The sequence below is a fragment of the Homo sapiens genome, chromosome 10, assembly GCF_000001405.40.
Source record: "Homo sapiens chromosome 10, GRCh38.p14 Primary Assembly".
Classification (NCBI taxonomy): domain Eukaryota; kingdom Metazoa; phylum Chordata; class Mammalia; order Primates; family Hominidae; genus Homo; species Homo sapiens.
The window spans coordinates 48,269,376-48,286,898 of NC_000010.11; the positions used below are offsets into that span (position 1 = coordinate 48,269,376).

The 17,523-nt window shown below is 43.5% G+C and overlaps 1 protein-coding gene across 3 annotated transcripts in view, besides 1 other annotated feature; it reads right to left on the minus strand.

Annotated features, from left to right (window-relative positions):
* FRMPD2 (FERM and PDZ domain containing 2) overlaps positions 1-5,520 on the minus strand; it is a 118,337-nt gene extending 112,817 nt beyond the window's left edge. For 2 of the 3 annotated variants that reach the window (XM_047424652.1, XM_011539327.3), the window contains exon 1: positions 5,168-5,520. In XM_047424652.1, coding sequence (XP_047280608.1) covers positions 5,168-5,192 — 25 coding nt within the window. In that variant the 5' untranslated portion in view covers positions 5,193-5,520. The remainder of the gene's footprint in view (positions 1-5,167) is intronic. The other variant, NM_001018071.4, reaches the window with a different exon arrangement.
* Positions 10,129-10,298: an enhancer, noted in NCBI's record as "active region_3330". NCBI's record gives its function as "activates an Ori minimal core promoter by ATAC-STARR-seq in GM12878 lymphoblastoid cells {active_cell/tissue: GM12878}" and the evidence as "EXISTENCE:reporter gene assay evidence [ECO:0000049][PMID:35858748]".

Consider the following 17,523-nt stretch of genomic DNA (forward strand, 5'->3'; position numbering starts at 1 on the left):
ATAGGAAATAGGATGCACAGAGGCGTGTTGCATGTGGATGTTGCTGGTGGGGCAGGTGGTACCTAGTACAAGGGTGGCCAGCGTCACTGAAATGCAGCCTTCAGAGGGATGCAGAAGCTGAACAGGCCTGAGAGTTCCCCCTTCACGGAGAGCATAGCCTTCTCTCCTCCTGCAGTGATGATTGAGGGATAAACCTCTGGCTGATGGGACTCAGGCAGGGCCAGGCCGTCCGTGGGTTCCCAGCCTAATGCAGGTTGAGAAGTGGCTTGCCCTGTCACAAACCCCACTGGGTGAATGCTTTGTTTAAAAATTTTCCTCTAGAAGTGAAGCAGCTTCATTCAGTCAAATTAATCCATCCAGAGCAGACCATTAAAAATACTGGTTAGTGAAGAGGGGGTCCTTAACTCACACTTGACAGACCCAGGAGACCTGCTGTAGCACAGATGGGAAATGGGAGACAGCCAAGGTGTGAGGGTGAAGGCTTGTCCAGAATCCCACTCCGAGTGGTTTCAGGGAGAGGACTCTGGTCTCAAGCTCTTCTCCTGGGCTTTATTTACCACATACCCCTCCTCAGGCCCTGAGTCAGGAAGTTGCTTCCCACAGTGATATCTACAAAGAGCTATACAGCCAGCTGGGATAAGGGATGAAGGTCAAACCGAAAGTGACTATTTCTGTGCAAAGAATCAGAGAGAAAAATCTTATGGGCCCAACAGCAGTAGGTAATTGAGAAAGTGAGACTAAGAAAAGTCATAAAAGAAACGGTGATTCCTTATTAAACAATATGGAAAAACTGTCCACTCCTGCCTATAATCCAAGGAGCTGCTAGTGGACGTGGTCTCGAGGCCCATTTTCATCCCTCAAGTGGGCTTCGATGATGAGCGCTCAGTGCCCATGAGGTGGCAATGACACTGTTCCTCTCAGAGACCTTACTTATGTGTGGCCAATTTGCGACAGCTGATTTGTAAAGCAGTTTGGCAATCTGTATCAAAAGCCAAGGGATGTCCATTCCTGCCATCAGGGTCTTCCTCTTCTGGGAATTGATGCCAAGAACATAATTGACAAAGATGTATATTCAAAGATATTTGCCATGGTATTATTTGTAACAATGAATAAAGGCAATGCCAAATGTCAGTGGTCTTTGGGTTTCTCTCTGCCCTGGCTCCCTCTTCAAATCACTCTACATGCTCCAAAGTTACCAACCATCAGTCCATCCCCTCCACAGCCATGTCTTAAGCTCAGACCCGTTTCTTGAGCTCCTGCTTGGTGATCCCAGGATGTCCTTTAGACAACCCCCTTAGATGTAGAGAGCTGAATTCACCTTCCCCCCACCTCCTCCTCTTTCAACCTCTCTTATTTGAATACAGCAAATGGCATTCCCACCACCTAACCCCTCAAGCCAAACATTCAGACGACATTTTTGTCTCCTTCCCATCCCTCAACTTCCCAGCCCGTTAATCACCATCTCCAAAATCTCTCTAAAATCCGCCTGTTTCTCTCCAACCCCACCACCACTGACCTGGTCTAAGCCACCAGCACCCTCCCCTGAATGACCACTGAAATGTAAATTCTACAAAATGGTTTCCTACAACCATACCTTGCCCCTGCCCTGATCCATTCTCTGTCTTGCAGAGTCCTCTTCCTAAAACACAAATCTGACCATGTCACACCTCGTGAAAACTTTCAGCCACTTTCTATTCTCCAAAGGATCAGCTCAGATCCTGAGCAAGATTTGCAGGACCTCAGGCCCACCGCTTTGGACTGATCTCTAGCAGCTTCCTCTTTCCCCCATGGCCTTTTTCCAGCCTTAGACGCACCACAACCCCCTTGCCTCCTGTCCTTCTGCAGGCTCTGTGGGGACACTCGCATCTGGAGCTCCTTCTTCCCCCACTGGCTGAATGACTCAGTAAATTAACAAGTGAATACTTCAGATGCTGCCTGCACTCTGGACTGGCATCATACAAAAATGATACTGATAGAAGAAACAAAAGAAATTCCTAGATGGCACTTTTTTAAAATGTCTAATACATTTACTCTCCAGCCAGACACTGTTTAACCCATCTTGAATCTATTGAAGAGTGAGTTCTGACAGCTCAGCCTTGATCTGCCTCCTGCCTGGCACCAGCCCTCCTGGAACTGGTTCCTGTGCACCATCCTACACATCTCCTTCCTGCCTCCCTTCACTACCTACTCTATTTCCAACAATGTTGGGCTATGATAGCTCAAGCAAATACAGGAATAAGGAGGCTTACAGCCAAGGCAAGAAAAAAAAAGGGAGGGCAGTTAACAGTAGAGCTGCCAGCGACCAGTAAAAGGAAGCCTGAGGAATAGGAATCAGCCTCGAAAGCAGACTTCTGCCAGGAAAGCAGCTAAAAACACTGATATCTCAGGGTGAATACAATTCAGGAGGGGAATGAGAATAGAAAAGCATAGTGGCTGGAAGAGCAGGCTCCGAGGTCAGAGCTGGATTGATCCCACCTCACCGTGGGCAAGTTACTTCCTCTCTTTACTCGTTTATACCATGAGTTATTGTGTCTGGCATATGGCAGTTTTTCAATAAATCCTAGCTATTCATATTATGAATCCTGAGTATATGGAGAGGGCAGGGAATAGGCTAGAGACAAGCCAGCAAAACTGGGGTTTCAGACCAGAAATGACTTCACTAATGGAGCTGCAGGTAGCATTGTCCTGGGCTGCACACCGCAGCCCTTGCTATTCCTGAGCAGTTGAATTCATAGTCATCTATTCATGGTGTTCTTTTTAATAAGTCCAACATTTTGGTGAGTGACAGCTTCATCCCCAGAGAGAAGGAAGTATTCTTCCTAATTCTTCCTTCGTGCCCCCTTCATTTGCACCCATGAGTCATTTTCTCACCACTCTGTATTCTGCTCCTTAAACCTTTCTTGGATTCTGTGATATGCTGAAGAAGGCTCCTACTGGCCTGTGAGAGCCAATTGTTAAATTTCCAGAAATTTTGTAAGCTGGTCATTAAACACAGCCATTACCAAAAAGTATTATAAAAATCTCCAATTAAATAAGTTATATTAACAATATGTTGAAACTCACCATTTCCAAATTATTTTACTGCATTTTACTGTTGTCTGTGCTTTGGAACTTATTTAAATGAAATACATTTCTATGATGGAAATACTGTGTAATGGTGTGCTGGTGCACAGCCCTTCCACCTTTGTGTTCAGCGATATCACATTGGGAGCTTGTGATTGGCCATGGTGGTAGTATTTATACCACAAAAATTGGCAAAAGCTACAAATTAGGGCTTGGTTTGCTGTTTTTTCATTCCCTAAGAAAACTAAGAAAGTGATGGAGAAAATGTTCATGCAGATTAAACCTAAAAGTGTGTCGCGTCCATAGTTGTTACATTGTGAATAACACAAAAATTGGGAAAACACTCTTCCAAATTCAAAAACTATGATCTGATCCAGCAGTCACTCATGTCATTGACAGATGAGTGAAGTTAAGACAATCATCTTCATTGTTTCACTTTCTTCTTACTTGTCAATGTAAACAAAAATATCAACCAACATTCATATTGGAACTACATTCAGTGGTCAATTGCAAACAGGCTGACCAAGGGTATAAGAGTTCAGCAAAAATCAACAAATGCATGCTGTGAGAATCAAATGGCTATATAGAATTTGTAATAAAGAGTATTTTATATTTTATTACTTGTAAATTGTGCAATATACATCCTTCATATCAGTAAAATTTATAATGAACTTATTAGATGCATATGTATTTGTTTTTGCTCACAGTGCTGGCAGCACCAGCTTGGAGACCTCCCCTTCTCTACATTCCACTGTTGTTTTCTTAGGTTAGGCCATCTGTCATCATTCCAGGTTTCATCCTCTCCAATCCCACACCCATATTGCTACTAGATTAATCTTCTTAATATTAAATGCAGACACGACACATCCTTCATTAAAACTACCAGTGCCTATCTGGGACCTTCTGAGTGAACTCTGGGCCATAGAAGGCCTTCCTTGCTCTCCCCTGTTCACCTCTGCAGCCTCCTTTCTTATCAGATTCCCCTGTTCCCACTTTACTAAAGTTAGGCCAAACTGCCTGCTGTTCCCAGAGCATGCTTTACTTATTCATGCCACTGGGCCTTTGCATGTGCTTTTCTCTGCTTGGGATGCCTTTTCCAATCCCCCTGCTCCCAACTCCTGCTAGTGTTCGCTTAGCATTAAAGCCATGCTCAAGCAACACCTCTCCCAGGAGCCCGTGCCACCTCCATTTCGGCACTTGCTATCACCGCCAGTTTTCATGCAGGTCCAGCATTCTGCCCCCCGACCCCCACTGTCCTACAACCTGGAAGATCCTCTGGGCTGGGGGAGACATCCCCAGCATTTGGCATGTGGCCCCAGGAGATACCAAGTAAGTTCTCGTTGAATTAATGAACTACTTAATTGGTTTCAGCTACAGCCTATAGCAAATCACAGGATTTAGCCAGGAGAAATAGACACGACTCATCTCTGAACTCAATTGTTGCTTTAAAAAAAAAAAAAAGTTGTTTACACTGTTGAAAACCTCAACTGAGTTTTTTCTTTCCTTTAAGCATACAAATAAAGCCAGGTGAATCATTTCTTTTCCATTGTTTTCTGGAAGTCAGCTAGGCATACCCTGAGTCTTCTTACTTTAAACCACTGATACTCTTTAAGCAATAACCAAAACACTTGCTTCTGAAAGATAGTGACAGCCATGATTTACTGGGCTACTCAAATGCTCCAAGTATGTTCTAAGTGCCTTACGCGTGTCACCCCATGAATCCTCAGCAACATCGTAACGCATGGGGCATTATTATCCCCATTTTACAGGTAAGAAAAACGAGTCTTAGGAAAGTTAAAAGAGTCATTTGAATTTGCACAGATGCTGAATAGCAAAGCAGTGATTCAAACAAGGGGTGGTCTGATTCTAAAGTCCATGTTTTCTCTTCTGAGCCCATTCTTTATTGCTAAAAAACAAATACAATGTCTATCAGGCTTAGCCAATGGCCTGGAACAAATAATACTCCAAATAATACCACAAAGGGCACTGACACAGGTCCTTGCCCAGCTGTGTTCTTCTTATTCCGGATACCTAGACCCAGTAAGAAGTTTGCCCTTTCCCTGACCAGATTTATAGGAGAAAACTGAATGATGCCAAGGAATACCTGCGTCCTTCGTTAAAGGCTGCATCCAAAAGTCTCCGTGACCAGGTCTAGGCCTTCATCATGGGACAACTTTCCAACAAGGAGCAGGGGTCTCTTGCAAGTCTGTCCGCGGAGCTCCCTGCCACCAGCACTGTTGCCGCTGTCTTTGTTTACTGCTTGTCACTAAGCACTTGCTGCCCAGCGAGTGAGTCAACAAGGCCCCTTCCCTTTCCTGCCACCACTCTCATTCCCTGGGTCCTGCGCAGTCTCTGGCCTGTTAGCAGGCACTGCCACCCCAGCAGCCTGCGTCCTCAAAGCCAGTGACCCGTGAGAGAGCCAGGAAGAGCTCAAGTGGATTAGGTGCCACTGAAGGCAATGGGATTGCTGCTCAGCAGGGCTTTTACGCTGATGTCTCTTTATCTCCTGGCCCAATCAAAAGAAAGAGCTCTGCAAGGAACTGGGGGCAGCCCCAGAGCAGAGGCTTAGTGTCATCAACTCAAGAGTCCTCCATGCCCTTTCATAGTGTCAGACATTGGACCTGCAACCAACAGGACAGGGAACCATGTGAAAGCAGCAGGAGGAAATGATAACCTGGATCTGTCTGTGAGAAAGCAAGAAAAATGTGGTTAGAGAAAGGGGGAAAGGAATTCTTACTCTTTCTGGTGCTTGGATTCAGAAAGGAACCAGCAGAGATGGGGAACAGCAAGAAGTAGATCATAGCTCTGTAGTAGAAGGGGCAAAAGAACAGATCTCTCAAGCCCTTTAAATCAATAGCAGTGTCAAAACTGAGACGTATTTATTTAAAAAGAAAACATGAGTTTTTGCCTGACTACAGAATAAAATACTAAAATTTGAGGCCGGGCACAGTGGCTCATGCCTGTAATCCCAGCACTTTGGGAGGCCAAGGCGGGCAGATCACGAGGTCAGGAGATCGAGACCATCCTGGCTAACATGGCAAAACCCCGTCTCTACTAAAAATACAAAAAATTAGCTGGGCCTGGAGGCGGGTGCCTGTAGTCCCAGCTACTCCGGAGGCTGAGGCAGAAGAATGGCGTGAACCTGGGAGGCGGAGCTTGCAGTGAGCCAAGATCGGGCCACTGCACTCCAGCCTGGGTGACAGAGCGAGACTCTGTCTCGAAAAAAAAATCTGATGAAACTCAGTGCTGGTGAGGGCATGGAGAATGAGTACTCTCATATGCCAATAGTGAGATTACAGATAAGTGCAACTTCTCTGCAGGGAATTTGGTAATATTCATCAAATTTGTAAATGTACATATCCTTTGTAAACCCAGCTGCTAAGAAGTAACCCCATGGACATTCTTGCAAAAGTTCACCAAAGCATCTGAGAAAGGATGCTCTTTGCAGTGTATTTTGGTAGTAGCAGAAAACTGAAAGCCACTGAAGTGCCCATCAACAGTGATTATTGTAGTTCACACACAGTAGAAAACCAGCTATGCAGCTGTGTAAAGGAAGGAAGTAGATCTGTGTGTGCTGGCATATAACAATTGCCTAGAAAATTCTTTAAGTGACAAAAGGTATGGAATAGCCTAGTATGTTTCCTTTTATTACAAATAGGTACATAAAGACCAGGTATATTTACGTATATTTATGTATACATATTCTTTATACACTGTAGTATATTAGAATATTATGTAGACATATTCTTGTGGTTCTGGAAGGAATCACAAGCAACTTAATAGTGGTTGCTAGGGGAAAGAGTTTTGGCTCATTATTTAGTCAGGAAAATTATTGTTCATTTTGGTATTTTCCCCCTATAACCTTATGTTATATTACTTGAAAAAAACTAAAAAACACAATGTTTTACATTTTTTTCTGCTTAAAGCTATCTATATTGACATTCCCTGCTAGCTAGCAAAACATTTCACAATATCTGCAACAATCTTTTACTGTTTTTTCCAAACTTGTCTTCTCATCAGATTCAGCCTTGAAGACGATAAAATGCAGATTCCCAGGCACCACCCTGAATCTGCTGAACCTGAATCTCTGGGCCCGAGCCAGAGCATCTGTATTTTCAGCAAGTGTCCAGGTAATTTTTATTTAGTAATTTTTTCAGGCTGACCACGCAACCTTTCTCCCAGAAGAAGAAAGTTGACTTCTCCAGTCATGTGGCTCGTTCACAACAGAACAAAAAGCAACACCTAAGTCATCTGCCAACAGGTAAATGCTGGTCTGCTTAAAGTCACCACCACTTTCACTTTTTCTGTTAAAAATACTAGCAGTAACCCCCTTCTATTGTTGCTCTGCTAACATTTCATTAAGTCCATTTTTTTGCATAAAAATTTTATCAATGTGTTTTTGTTTTTCAAGTTATCAAAGCTAATAGTTTCTCTCTGAGTTATCTCTGTGTCATTCCCTATATAATTTTGTTATATTTTATATATTTTTATTTTTTAAGGTTATTTTCCTGTCAAAATTCTTTATTGCGTATGATCATTTAAAAAAAAAACTTTATTTTAGGTTCGAGAGTACATGTGAAGTTTTGTTACAGAGGTAAACTCATGTCATGGGGGTTTGTTGTACAGATTATTTCATCACCCAGATATTAAGCCCAGTACCCAGTAGTTATTGGTTCTCTGTCTACTCACACCCCCCCAACCCTCAGGTAGACCCCAGTGTCTGTTGTTTCCTTCTTTGTGCTCATAGTTCTCACGATCCAGCTCCCACTTATAAGTGAGAACATACTGTATTTCATTTTCTGTACATGAATTAGTTTGCTAAGAATAATAGCCTCCAGCTCCATCCATGTTCCCATGAAAAACATGATCTCATTCTTTTTTATGGCTGCATAGTATTCCATGGAGTATGTATACCACATTTTCTTTATCCAATTTGTCATTGATGGGCATTTACATTGATGCCATGTCTTTGCTATTGTGAATAGTGCTGCCATGAACATAAATGTCCATGTGTCTTTATAATAGAACAATTTATATTCCTTTGGGTATATACCCAGTAATGGGATTGCTGGGTAAAATGGTATTTCTGTCTCTAGGTCTTTGAGAAATTGCCACACTGTCTTCCACAATGGTTGAATGAATTTACATTCCCACCAACAGTGTATAAGTGTTCCCTGTTATTTGCAACCTTGCCAACATCTGTTTCTTTATACATATTTTATTAATAGCCATTCTGACTGGTGTGAGATGGTATCTCATTGTGGATTTGATTTGCATTTCTCTCATTATCAATGGTGTTGAGCTTTTTTCATACACTTGTTGGCCGCATGTATGTCTTCTTTTAAGAAGTTTCTGTTCATGTCCTTTGCCCACTTTTTAATAGGGTCGTTTGTTTTTCTCTCGTAAATTTGTTTAAGTTCCTTATAGATGCTGGATATTAGACTTTTGTCAGATGCATATTTTGCAAATATTTTCTCCCATTCTGTAGGTTGTCTGTTTACTCTGTTGATAATTTCTTTTGCTGTGCAGAAGTTCTTAAGTTTAATTAGATCGCACTGTCAATTTTTCCTTTTGTTGTGATTGCTTTTGGTGTCTTTGTCATGAAATCTTTGCCAGTTCCTATGTCCTGAATGGTATTGATTGCCTAGGTTGTCTGCCAGTGTTTTTATAGTTTCTGGTTTTACATTAAGTCCTTAATCCATCTTGAGTTAATTTTGTATATGGTGTAAGGAAGGGGTCCAGTTTTAATATTCTGCATGTGGCTAGCCAGTTATCTCAGCACCATTTATTGAACAGGGAGTCTTTTCCTCATTGCTTGTTTTTGTCAGCTTTGTTGAAGATTCACATGGTTGTAAGTGTACAGCCTTATTTCTGGGCTTTCCATTCTGTTCCATTGGTCTATGTTCCTGTTTTTGTACCAGCATCATGCTGTTTAGGTTACTGTAGCCCTGTAGTATAGTTTGAAGTTGGGTAACTCAATGTCTCCAGCTCTGTTCTTTTTGCTTCAGATTGCCTTGGCTACTCAGGCTGTTTTTTGGTTCCATATGAATTTTAAGATAGTTTTCTTCTAGTTCTGTGAAGAATATTGTTGGTAGTTTGATGGAAATAGCTTTGAATCTGTAAATAGCTTTGGGCAGTAAGGCCATTTTAATGACTTTGATTCTTCCTATCCATGAGCATGGGATGTTTTTCCATTTGTTAGTGTCTTGTCTGATTTCTCTGAGTAGTGTTTTGTAATTCTCATTGTAGCAATCCTTCACCTCCCTGGTTAGCTGTATTCCTAGGTATTTTATTCTTTTTATGGCAATTGTGAATGGGATTGCCTTTCTGATTTGACTCTCGGCGTGGCTGTTGTTGGCATATAGGAATGCTAGTGATTTTTTTGTACATTGATTTTGTATCCTGAAACTTTGCTGAAGTTGTTTATCAGCTGAAGGAGGTTTTAGGCTGATCGAAATCTTTGAGTTTATATATTTTTTAATTTAATTGCTTCACTTTCAAAAACTGTGTTTACTCCTATTTATAGAGAGTTCTGGAAAGTGAGGTATATAATCAAGTGAAATTCAATAATAAATCCGATTGCCAGTTGTGCCCTTTTGTTTTCCAGAGAAACAGAACCAATTGGATATTTATTTATAAGGAATTGTCTCATGTGATTATGGTGGCTGAGAACCTCACAATCTGCCATCTGCAAGCTGGAGACCCAGGAAAGCAGATGAGATAGTTTCACTCTGAGTCTAAAGGCCTGAGAAACATGGTAAGTCCCAGTCAAAGAGCAGAAGACCAATGGCCCAGTGCAGTCAGCCAGAGAGAGAGAGAGCAAATTCTCACTTCCTCTGCTTTTGTGTTCTGTTCAAGCCTTCAACAGACTGGGTGATGCCCACCTACATTAGGGAGAGGAGTCTCCTTTACTTAGTCCACCAACTCACAGGCTAATCTCACTGGGAAACAACCTTACAGGTACACTGTATTCATCCATTTTCATGCTGCTGATAAAGACATACCTGAGACTGGGCAATTTACAAAAGAAAGGTTTACTTGGACTTACAGTTCCATGTGGCTGGGGAAGCCTCACAATCATGGTGGAAGGCAAAGAGGAGCAAGTCACATCTTACATAAATAGCAGCAAGCAAAGACAGAGAGCTTGTGCAGGGGAATTCCTTTTTTTAAAACCATCAGATCTCATGAGACTTAGTCACTATCATGAGAACAGCATGAGAAAGACTTGCACCCATGATTCAATTACCTCCTACCGGGTCCCTTCGACAATATGTGGGAATTCAAGATGAGATCTGGGTGGGGACACAGCCAAACCATATCATCCCAACCTGGCCCGTCCAAAATCTCACATCCTCACATTTCAAAGCCAATCATGCCTTCCCAACAGTCCCTCAAAGTCTTAACTCATTTCAGCATTAACCCAAAAGCCCACAGCCCAAAGTCTCATCTGAGACAAGGCAAGTCTCTTCCACTTATGAGCCTGTAAAATCAAAAACAAGTTAGTTACTTCCTAGATACAGTGGGGGTACAGGCATTGTGTAAATACTGCCATTCCAAATGGGAGAAATCGGCCAAAACAAAGGTTCTACAGGCCCCATACAAGTCTGAAATCCAGTGGGGCAGTCAAATCTTAAAGCTCCAAAATGATCTCCTTTGACTCCATGTCTCATATCCAGGTCACGCTGATGCAAGAGGTAGGTTCCCATAGTCTTGGGCAGCTCCACCCCAAGACTTTGCAGGTGTGGCTTTGCAGGGTACAGCCTCCCTCCCAGCTGCCTTCACGGGCTGGTGTTGAGTGTCTGCATCTTTTCCATGCACACAGTGCAAGCTATCATTGGATCTACCATCCTGGAGTCTGGAGGATTGTTGCCCTCTTCTCACAGCTCAACTAGGCAGTGCCCCAGTAGGAACTCTGTATGGGGACTCCGATCCCACATTCCCCTTCCACACTGCCTTAGCAGAGGTTCTCCATGAGAGCCCTGCCCCTGCAGCAAACTTCTGCCTGGGCATCCAGGCATTTCCAAGCATCTTCTGAAATCTAGGCAGAGGTTCCCATACCTCAATTCTTGACTTTTGTGCACTCGCAGGCTCAACACCATGTGGAAGCTGCCAAGACTTGAGGCTTGCACCCTCTGAAGCCATGGCCTGAGCTTGACACTGGCTCCTTTCAGCTACAGCTGGAGTGGCTGGGACACAGGGCACCAAGTCCCTAGGCTGCACACAGCACGGGGACCCTGGGCCTGGCCCACAAAAACACCTTTTCCTCCTAGACCTCCAGCCCTGTGATGAGAGGGACTGTCACAAAGGTCTCTGACATGCCCTGGAGATATTTTCCTCATTGTCTTGGTGATTAACATTCAGCTCCTCGTTACTTGAAAAAAATTTTTTATTTTTATTTTTTACACTTTAAGTTCTAGGATACATGTGCAGAACATGCAGGTTTTTTACATAGGTATACATGTGTCATGGTGGTTTGCTGCACTCATCAACCCATCATCTAGGTTTTAAGCCCTGCATGCATTAGGTATTTCTCCTAATGCTATTACTCCCCTTGCCCCCCACCCTCCAACATGCCCAGGTGTGTGATATTCCCCTCCCTGTGTCTATGTGTTCTCATTGTTCAACTCCCACTTATGAGTGAGAACATGCAGTATTTGGTTTTCTGTTCCTGTGTTAGTTTGCTGAGAATGATGGTTTCCAGCTTCATCCTTGTTACTTTTGCAAATTTCTGTAGCCGGCTTCAATTTCTCCTCAGAAAATGGGTTTTTCTTTTCTATCACATTGTCAGACTGCAAATTATTTGAATGTTTATGCTCTGCTTCCCTTATAAAACTGAATGCCTTTAACAGCACCCAAGTCACCTCTTGAATGCTTTGCTGCTTAGAAATTTCTTCCACCAGATACCCTAAATCATTGCTCTCAAGTTCAAAGTTCCAAAAATCTCCTCCAATTTGGGGCATATGGGGTACCAATTTGGGGGGTACCAGAGCAGGGGCAGAATGCCGCCATTCTCTTTGCTAAAACATAACAAGAGTCACCTTTGCTCCAGTTCTCAAAAAGTTTCTCATCTCCATCTGAGACCACCTCAGTCTGGATCTTATTGTCCATATCAATATCAGGCTTCTGGTCAAAGCCATTCAACAAGTCTCTAAGAAGTTCCAAACTTTCCCACATTTTGCTGTCTTCTTCTGAGCCCTCCAAACTATTCGAACCTCTGCCTGTTACCCAGTTCCAAAGTTGATGCCACATTTTTGGGTATCTTTTCAGCAGCACCCTACTCTACTGGTACCAAATTACTCTATTAGTCCATTTTCATGCTGCTGATAAAGACATACTCGAGACTGGGCAATTTACAACAGAAAGAGGTTTAATTGAACTTACAGTTCCATGTAGCTGGGGAAGCCTCGCAATCATGGCAGAAGGCAAGGAGGAGCAAGTCACATCTTACATGGATGGCAGCAGGCAAAGATAGAGAGCTTGTTCAGAGGAACTCCTCTTTTTAAAACCATCAGCTATCATGAGACTTATTCACTATCAGGAGAACAGCATGAGAAAGACTTGAACCCATGATTCAGTTACCTCCCACCGAGTCCCTCCCACAACATGTGGGAATTCGAGATGAGATTTGGGTGAGAACACAGCCAAAAAATATCATACACCCAGAATAACATTTAACCACGTATCTGGGCAACCCATGGCCCAATGAAATTGACACATAAAATTAGTCATCACAATTCTACCCTGTGTCTACTTGACTGTGATTTAAAGACAAATAGTATATCTGTAAAGTGTGTATCACACTTAATTTCCAAATAAAGACAAGAAAATAACAAGGGCATTATTTCACCTAACATGTTACAATTATCCTGCATACAACAAAAAAAAGTAATAACCCTTTCCCCATAAGAGAGGTAAATCCTTGAATGATGTTTACTTCTCCTCTTGATATATTGTAACTTAAATACTTGATGTAAAATTATCAATACTTAAATACTATGATATAAAGTCAATATATATTATGTTACAGATAAAGAAATAAGAAAGGAAAGAAAACAAATATTATATACACACACAAAAATATATTCATAACAAAATAAGGAGGAAATATTCATGATAATTACAGTCCTCATTTCTGTAACTGTTTACATGGTCGTTGCTGGTGTTTATAACTATTTTCTTCCACTACTCATTCTGTATTCCCTTTGCTTTCAGCATATATCACAGATGACCATGGTTCTTTACTTGGTGGAGTGACCTAAACCTTCATTCCTGAAGTATCTGAGCCATTGGTAGCTCCTGTCTGAACTGGGTTGTTGTAGTTTTCCACTGACCTTAATCACAGGGCATGGTAATACTAAGAGATGCCCTAAGAGATCTCCAATATTTCAGACAGACTCTTCCTTACTCCATTGTGTAACAGCAGTTGAATTTCCCTTTGGCAGTGAGGATCAGTCACCCCAACCAGCATAGTAACTCCCATCTTTGCCTGTTGATTCAGAGGCATGAAGAACCCACAGTGACTGGGTAGTCTTAACTGTTGTGTCTCCCAGTAGAAACATTCTTTCATCTGAAACTAAGACTTGACAGCATGCACAGCATAAGGTCACAGAAACAGGAAGTAAAAGTTTTGCTGTGGGTCACTAGGGGTAATAATGAATGGTGCCACTCTCATTTCTACCCCCTGACTCTGGGCCCATGAAACCTGGCTATGGGAGAAGGAGCACCTTTAATGAATGCTGATTCAGAGCATATAGAGCTTCCCAGAAAATGCTTCCCCAACCCTACAAGGCATTGCCACCTAGATGGTGTTGTAACTGAGTCTTCAAAAGGCCATCCCACTGTTCTAAACCAGCTGCTTCTGAATGGTGGGAAACATGGTAAAACCAGTGATGTGCTAGCCCCTGTGCCCCTCCTCTGGGCTCTGCTCCAAGAGCTCTGCCCAACCAGCACTACGCCAGATTTCAGGACCTGTGTGGGTTGCCTCCTCCCTGCATCTGTCCTCTAGATGTGGATGTGGCTGGAGCTTGGCCGTGAGGACCTAGAGCCCCTGAGAGTGTGGGGAAGACTTGGAAGAGTAGTGACCCATGGCCTGGGGCTAAAAGTGCATAAATTCCAAAGAGTTAGAATTATCATTTCACATTTAATCTTCCAGGAGGTTATGAAGGTACATTTACCAAGGTAAGAAGACAGACATATCTAAAGAGATTTTTATTTAAAGCCTGATGGCTTGACTCATAACTTTTAAATATTTAGACCTAACATACGTGGGCCTCCACTTGCATTCTTTGCCCTGGGTCCTGCAAATGTTAGAGAGGGCCTGTTCCTTTACTGGAGCTGTCAGCTCTGGATTCCCTGTGGTCTATCCTGCCCTGCTTCTTTATAACGTCAACACATCTTTGATCTCCTCACTCCACCTTCCTCACTCTACCTCAGCCATCTACTCCTGTGTTCATAACTCAATCTTTGTCATTACAAGGAAATTTTGCTGTACTATCTGCAAAACTTACATCTCAAACATCCTAGGCTCAGACCAGCCACTGACTCATATTTGTCCAGCTTATTCCCTCAAGTTACCCAACCCTGACAATTTTTTGTGCTCATCAAGACCTCCCATCCATGATCCATGAACCCTACCACTTTTCCACTGTTCTGTACTTCTCTCACTCTCCAGCTTAGAGTTCATGGTCCATGTGTCAGGAACTCCTCCTAAGCATGCACAAGCATCTGTTTTCCCCTTCCTCCTGGGCACACATCCAGACCACACTTCCCAGCCTCCCTTGCAGCTAGGTGGAGTCATGTGACAGAGTTCCAGCCAATGGGACATGAGTAGATAGGATGTGTGCACAGGAGGGGGATTCAGAATGGCAGTGATGATAACCACAGTGACCTTGGAAGCCTGGGACCCTAACTTGCACCCACCTAGAACATTTTCCCTGGGGTATTAAGGAAAAGGAAATCTATTTAATCTGAGCCATTGCATTTTGTTACATCAGCTGCATTCCTATATCGCCTCACTGAAATCACTCCCCTGCATGTAGCCAGGAGGGCAAGCACCAACGTGGCACAGGGTTAAGAGCAGGGATTGTCCAACCAAGACCACCTGGGTCATATTCTGGCTCCACAACATACTGGCTGTGCTATCTGAGCAAGTTATTTCTCCTCTGTGCCTCTGTTTCCTCACCCGTAAAATGGAGATGATAATGGAACCTACTCCTAGATCCGTTTGAGACCCACAGGTCTGGTAAGCAAGTACTGTAGAACAATGAGACCCTGCCTGCCACAGTGAACGCTATATATCTGCCACCACTGCATCTGCTCTCAACCCCACTGCTTCTCTCACACTTAACTGGGGCAGGGGGACCAAATTCTAGTTAAATTCAGGTTTCCCCTCCTCCTGTTTGTGTCCAAGCAGCTGAGCCATGTTGAAGAATGTCACAAACCCCTGCTGTGCTGCCTCATCTTGCTCCCCACTCATGGCTGCAGCCCACTGGTGGCCCTCGCACCTCCTAGCTGTCCCTCTGCATGTCTCTTCAGTTCTCCCAGGCTGCAGCCATGCCTTCTCCTTGCCCGATGCTGAGCGGTAACCTCATGCCTCACTGAGGAAGGAGAAGCTGTCAGAGGAGAACTCCTTTGTGCTCCCACATTAAACCCACGTACCTCCCTGTGTTCCCTTATCTGTTCCCTTATCTGTTCCCTTATCTGTGTTCCCTTATCACCTCTCTCCTGGTTCTTCTCAAATTAGGCTCCTCCTGCCCCCAAAAGCACTGAAAGGACTCTGTCTAGGATGCTAAATCCAAGAGTCAGTCTCAATTCTCATTTTCCCTGACCTGCTAGCAGCATTGGATCAGCCCTGTTTCCTCACAACGCTTTATTTCTTTGGCTTCTAGAACGAACGCTCCTGTCTTTATACCCCGCTGGCCACTCTGTCTTCTCACCTGCTTCCTCCCGCACTGCCCTCTAAACATGGGATTCCTGGGAGTTTCTTCCTCAGCCTCTTCTCTTCCCTTTCTATCCCCACTCCTCCCCGACATTCAGCAAGTCCCATGGTTTTAGTTACCATCATAGGCAATAATCCCAAATTCAGATTTACAAAGAGCACCTGTCTCTCCAATTTAAACTCTGGATTCTTTTGACCAACTGCCCACATGTCTTCACTTCCTGAGGTCTAATAGGAAACTTAAATTTAAGCATATCTGAAAGAGAATTGTTGATTTTCAAATCGTCTCTCCCACCAAAAAGAAACCCTTGCTCCCTCCTCAATTTAATTATCTCAATAAATGTTCTTACCATAAACCTAATTTCCCATGCCAAAAAACAAAACAAAACAAAAAAAACAGCCACCCTTGACTCCCCTGGGTCCTTACATCACATCAATTGGCAGGTTTTGCTTAAAACATCTGACGCTCCTCACCATCCCTCTTCACCCTCCCCTGGGACTATCATTCCCCCGCCTGAACCACTGAGGGAGTTTCCTGGCTAGTCCTGCTCTAATGATTGATGACCCAGCCTATTCCCCACTCAGCAGTCAAGCTGTCCTTCGAAAACCAAAGGCAGATCGTGCAATCCCCTTGTTCAGGACCTATCTGTGGGTGCCCACTGATCGCCTGTGATCTAACCCTGGTTAGATCTAGTCCCTCCCTCCTTGGTGTCCCCTGCTCCAGTCACACTGGTATTCTTCCAAGGTCCCAGTTTGTTCCAGGGCTTTGCATGTGCTGTTTCCCCTGCCTGGAGATCTTCATCTGCTATGATGTCACTTCATTCAGGCCTCTGTCCGAACGCTGCCTCTTTAGAAAGTCTGTGTTCCTTCATCAGGCTGGGTCCCCTTGCCTCTATTAGTCCCCTTTATAGCAATTACTGGTTTTTACTTTAATACTATGTATTTATTTCTCATTTATTTTCTATCTCCCTACTGACAAATATTAGCTAACCGATGGCTGGGACCATATCCATCTTGCTTCCTGCTTGTGGCAGGATGTTTTCAGCTGCATGTGACAGATGAAGCAATGAAAAGTGATTTAGACAATCAAGGATATCTGTGTCCCCACATAAATGCACATTCAGCAGCTCAGCAACATCAGAGCCTGGGGTTGACATTTGTTCTTCTCACACCAAAGAATGGCTGCTGCAGCTCCAGCCTTCACATCCAACTCAACCATGTCAGAAGGAAGAGAAAGGACTTTGATCTTCACATCTGTTTAGAATCTTCCAGAATCCCTAGTCAGCTTCCCCTTTTATATCCCTGGCCAGACAAGATCAAGGGCCCACCCCTAAACCCAAGTAGAAGAGGATGAGCACAGTTGGCTCTGATCAGTCATGATTTCTCCCTGGACGGGAGGACGAACTCAGCTTCCTAGAGCACGCACTCCCTGATGGGTTCACAAAATGAGACCCTGAGATCAAGGAGGAAAAGGGTGTGTGGCTATTAGGTGACAAATCCGGAATGATTGTCTCAATTCTGTA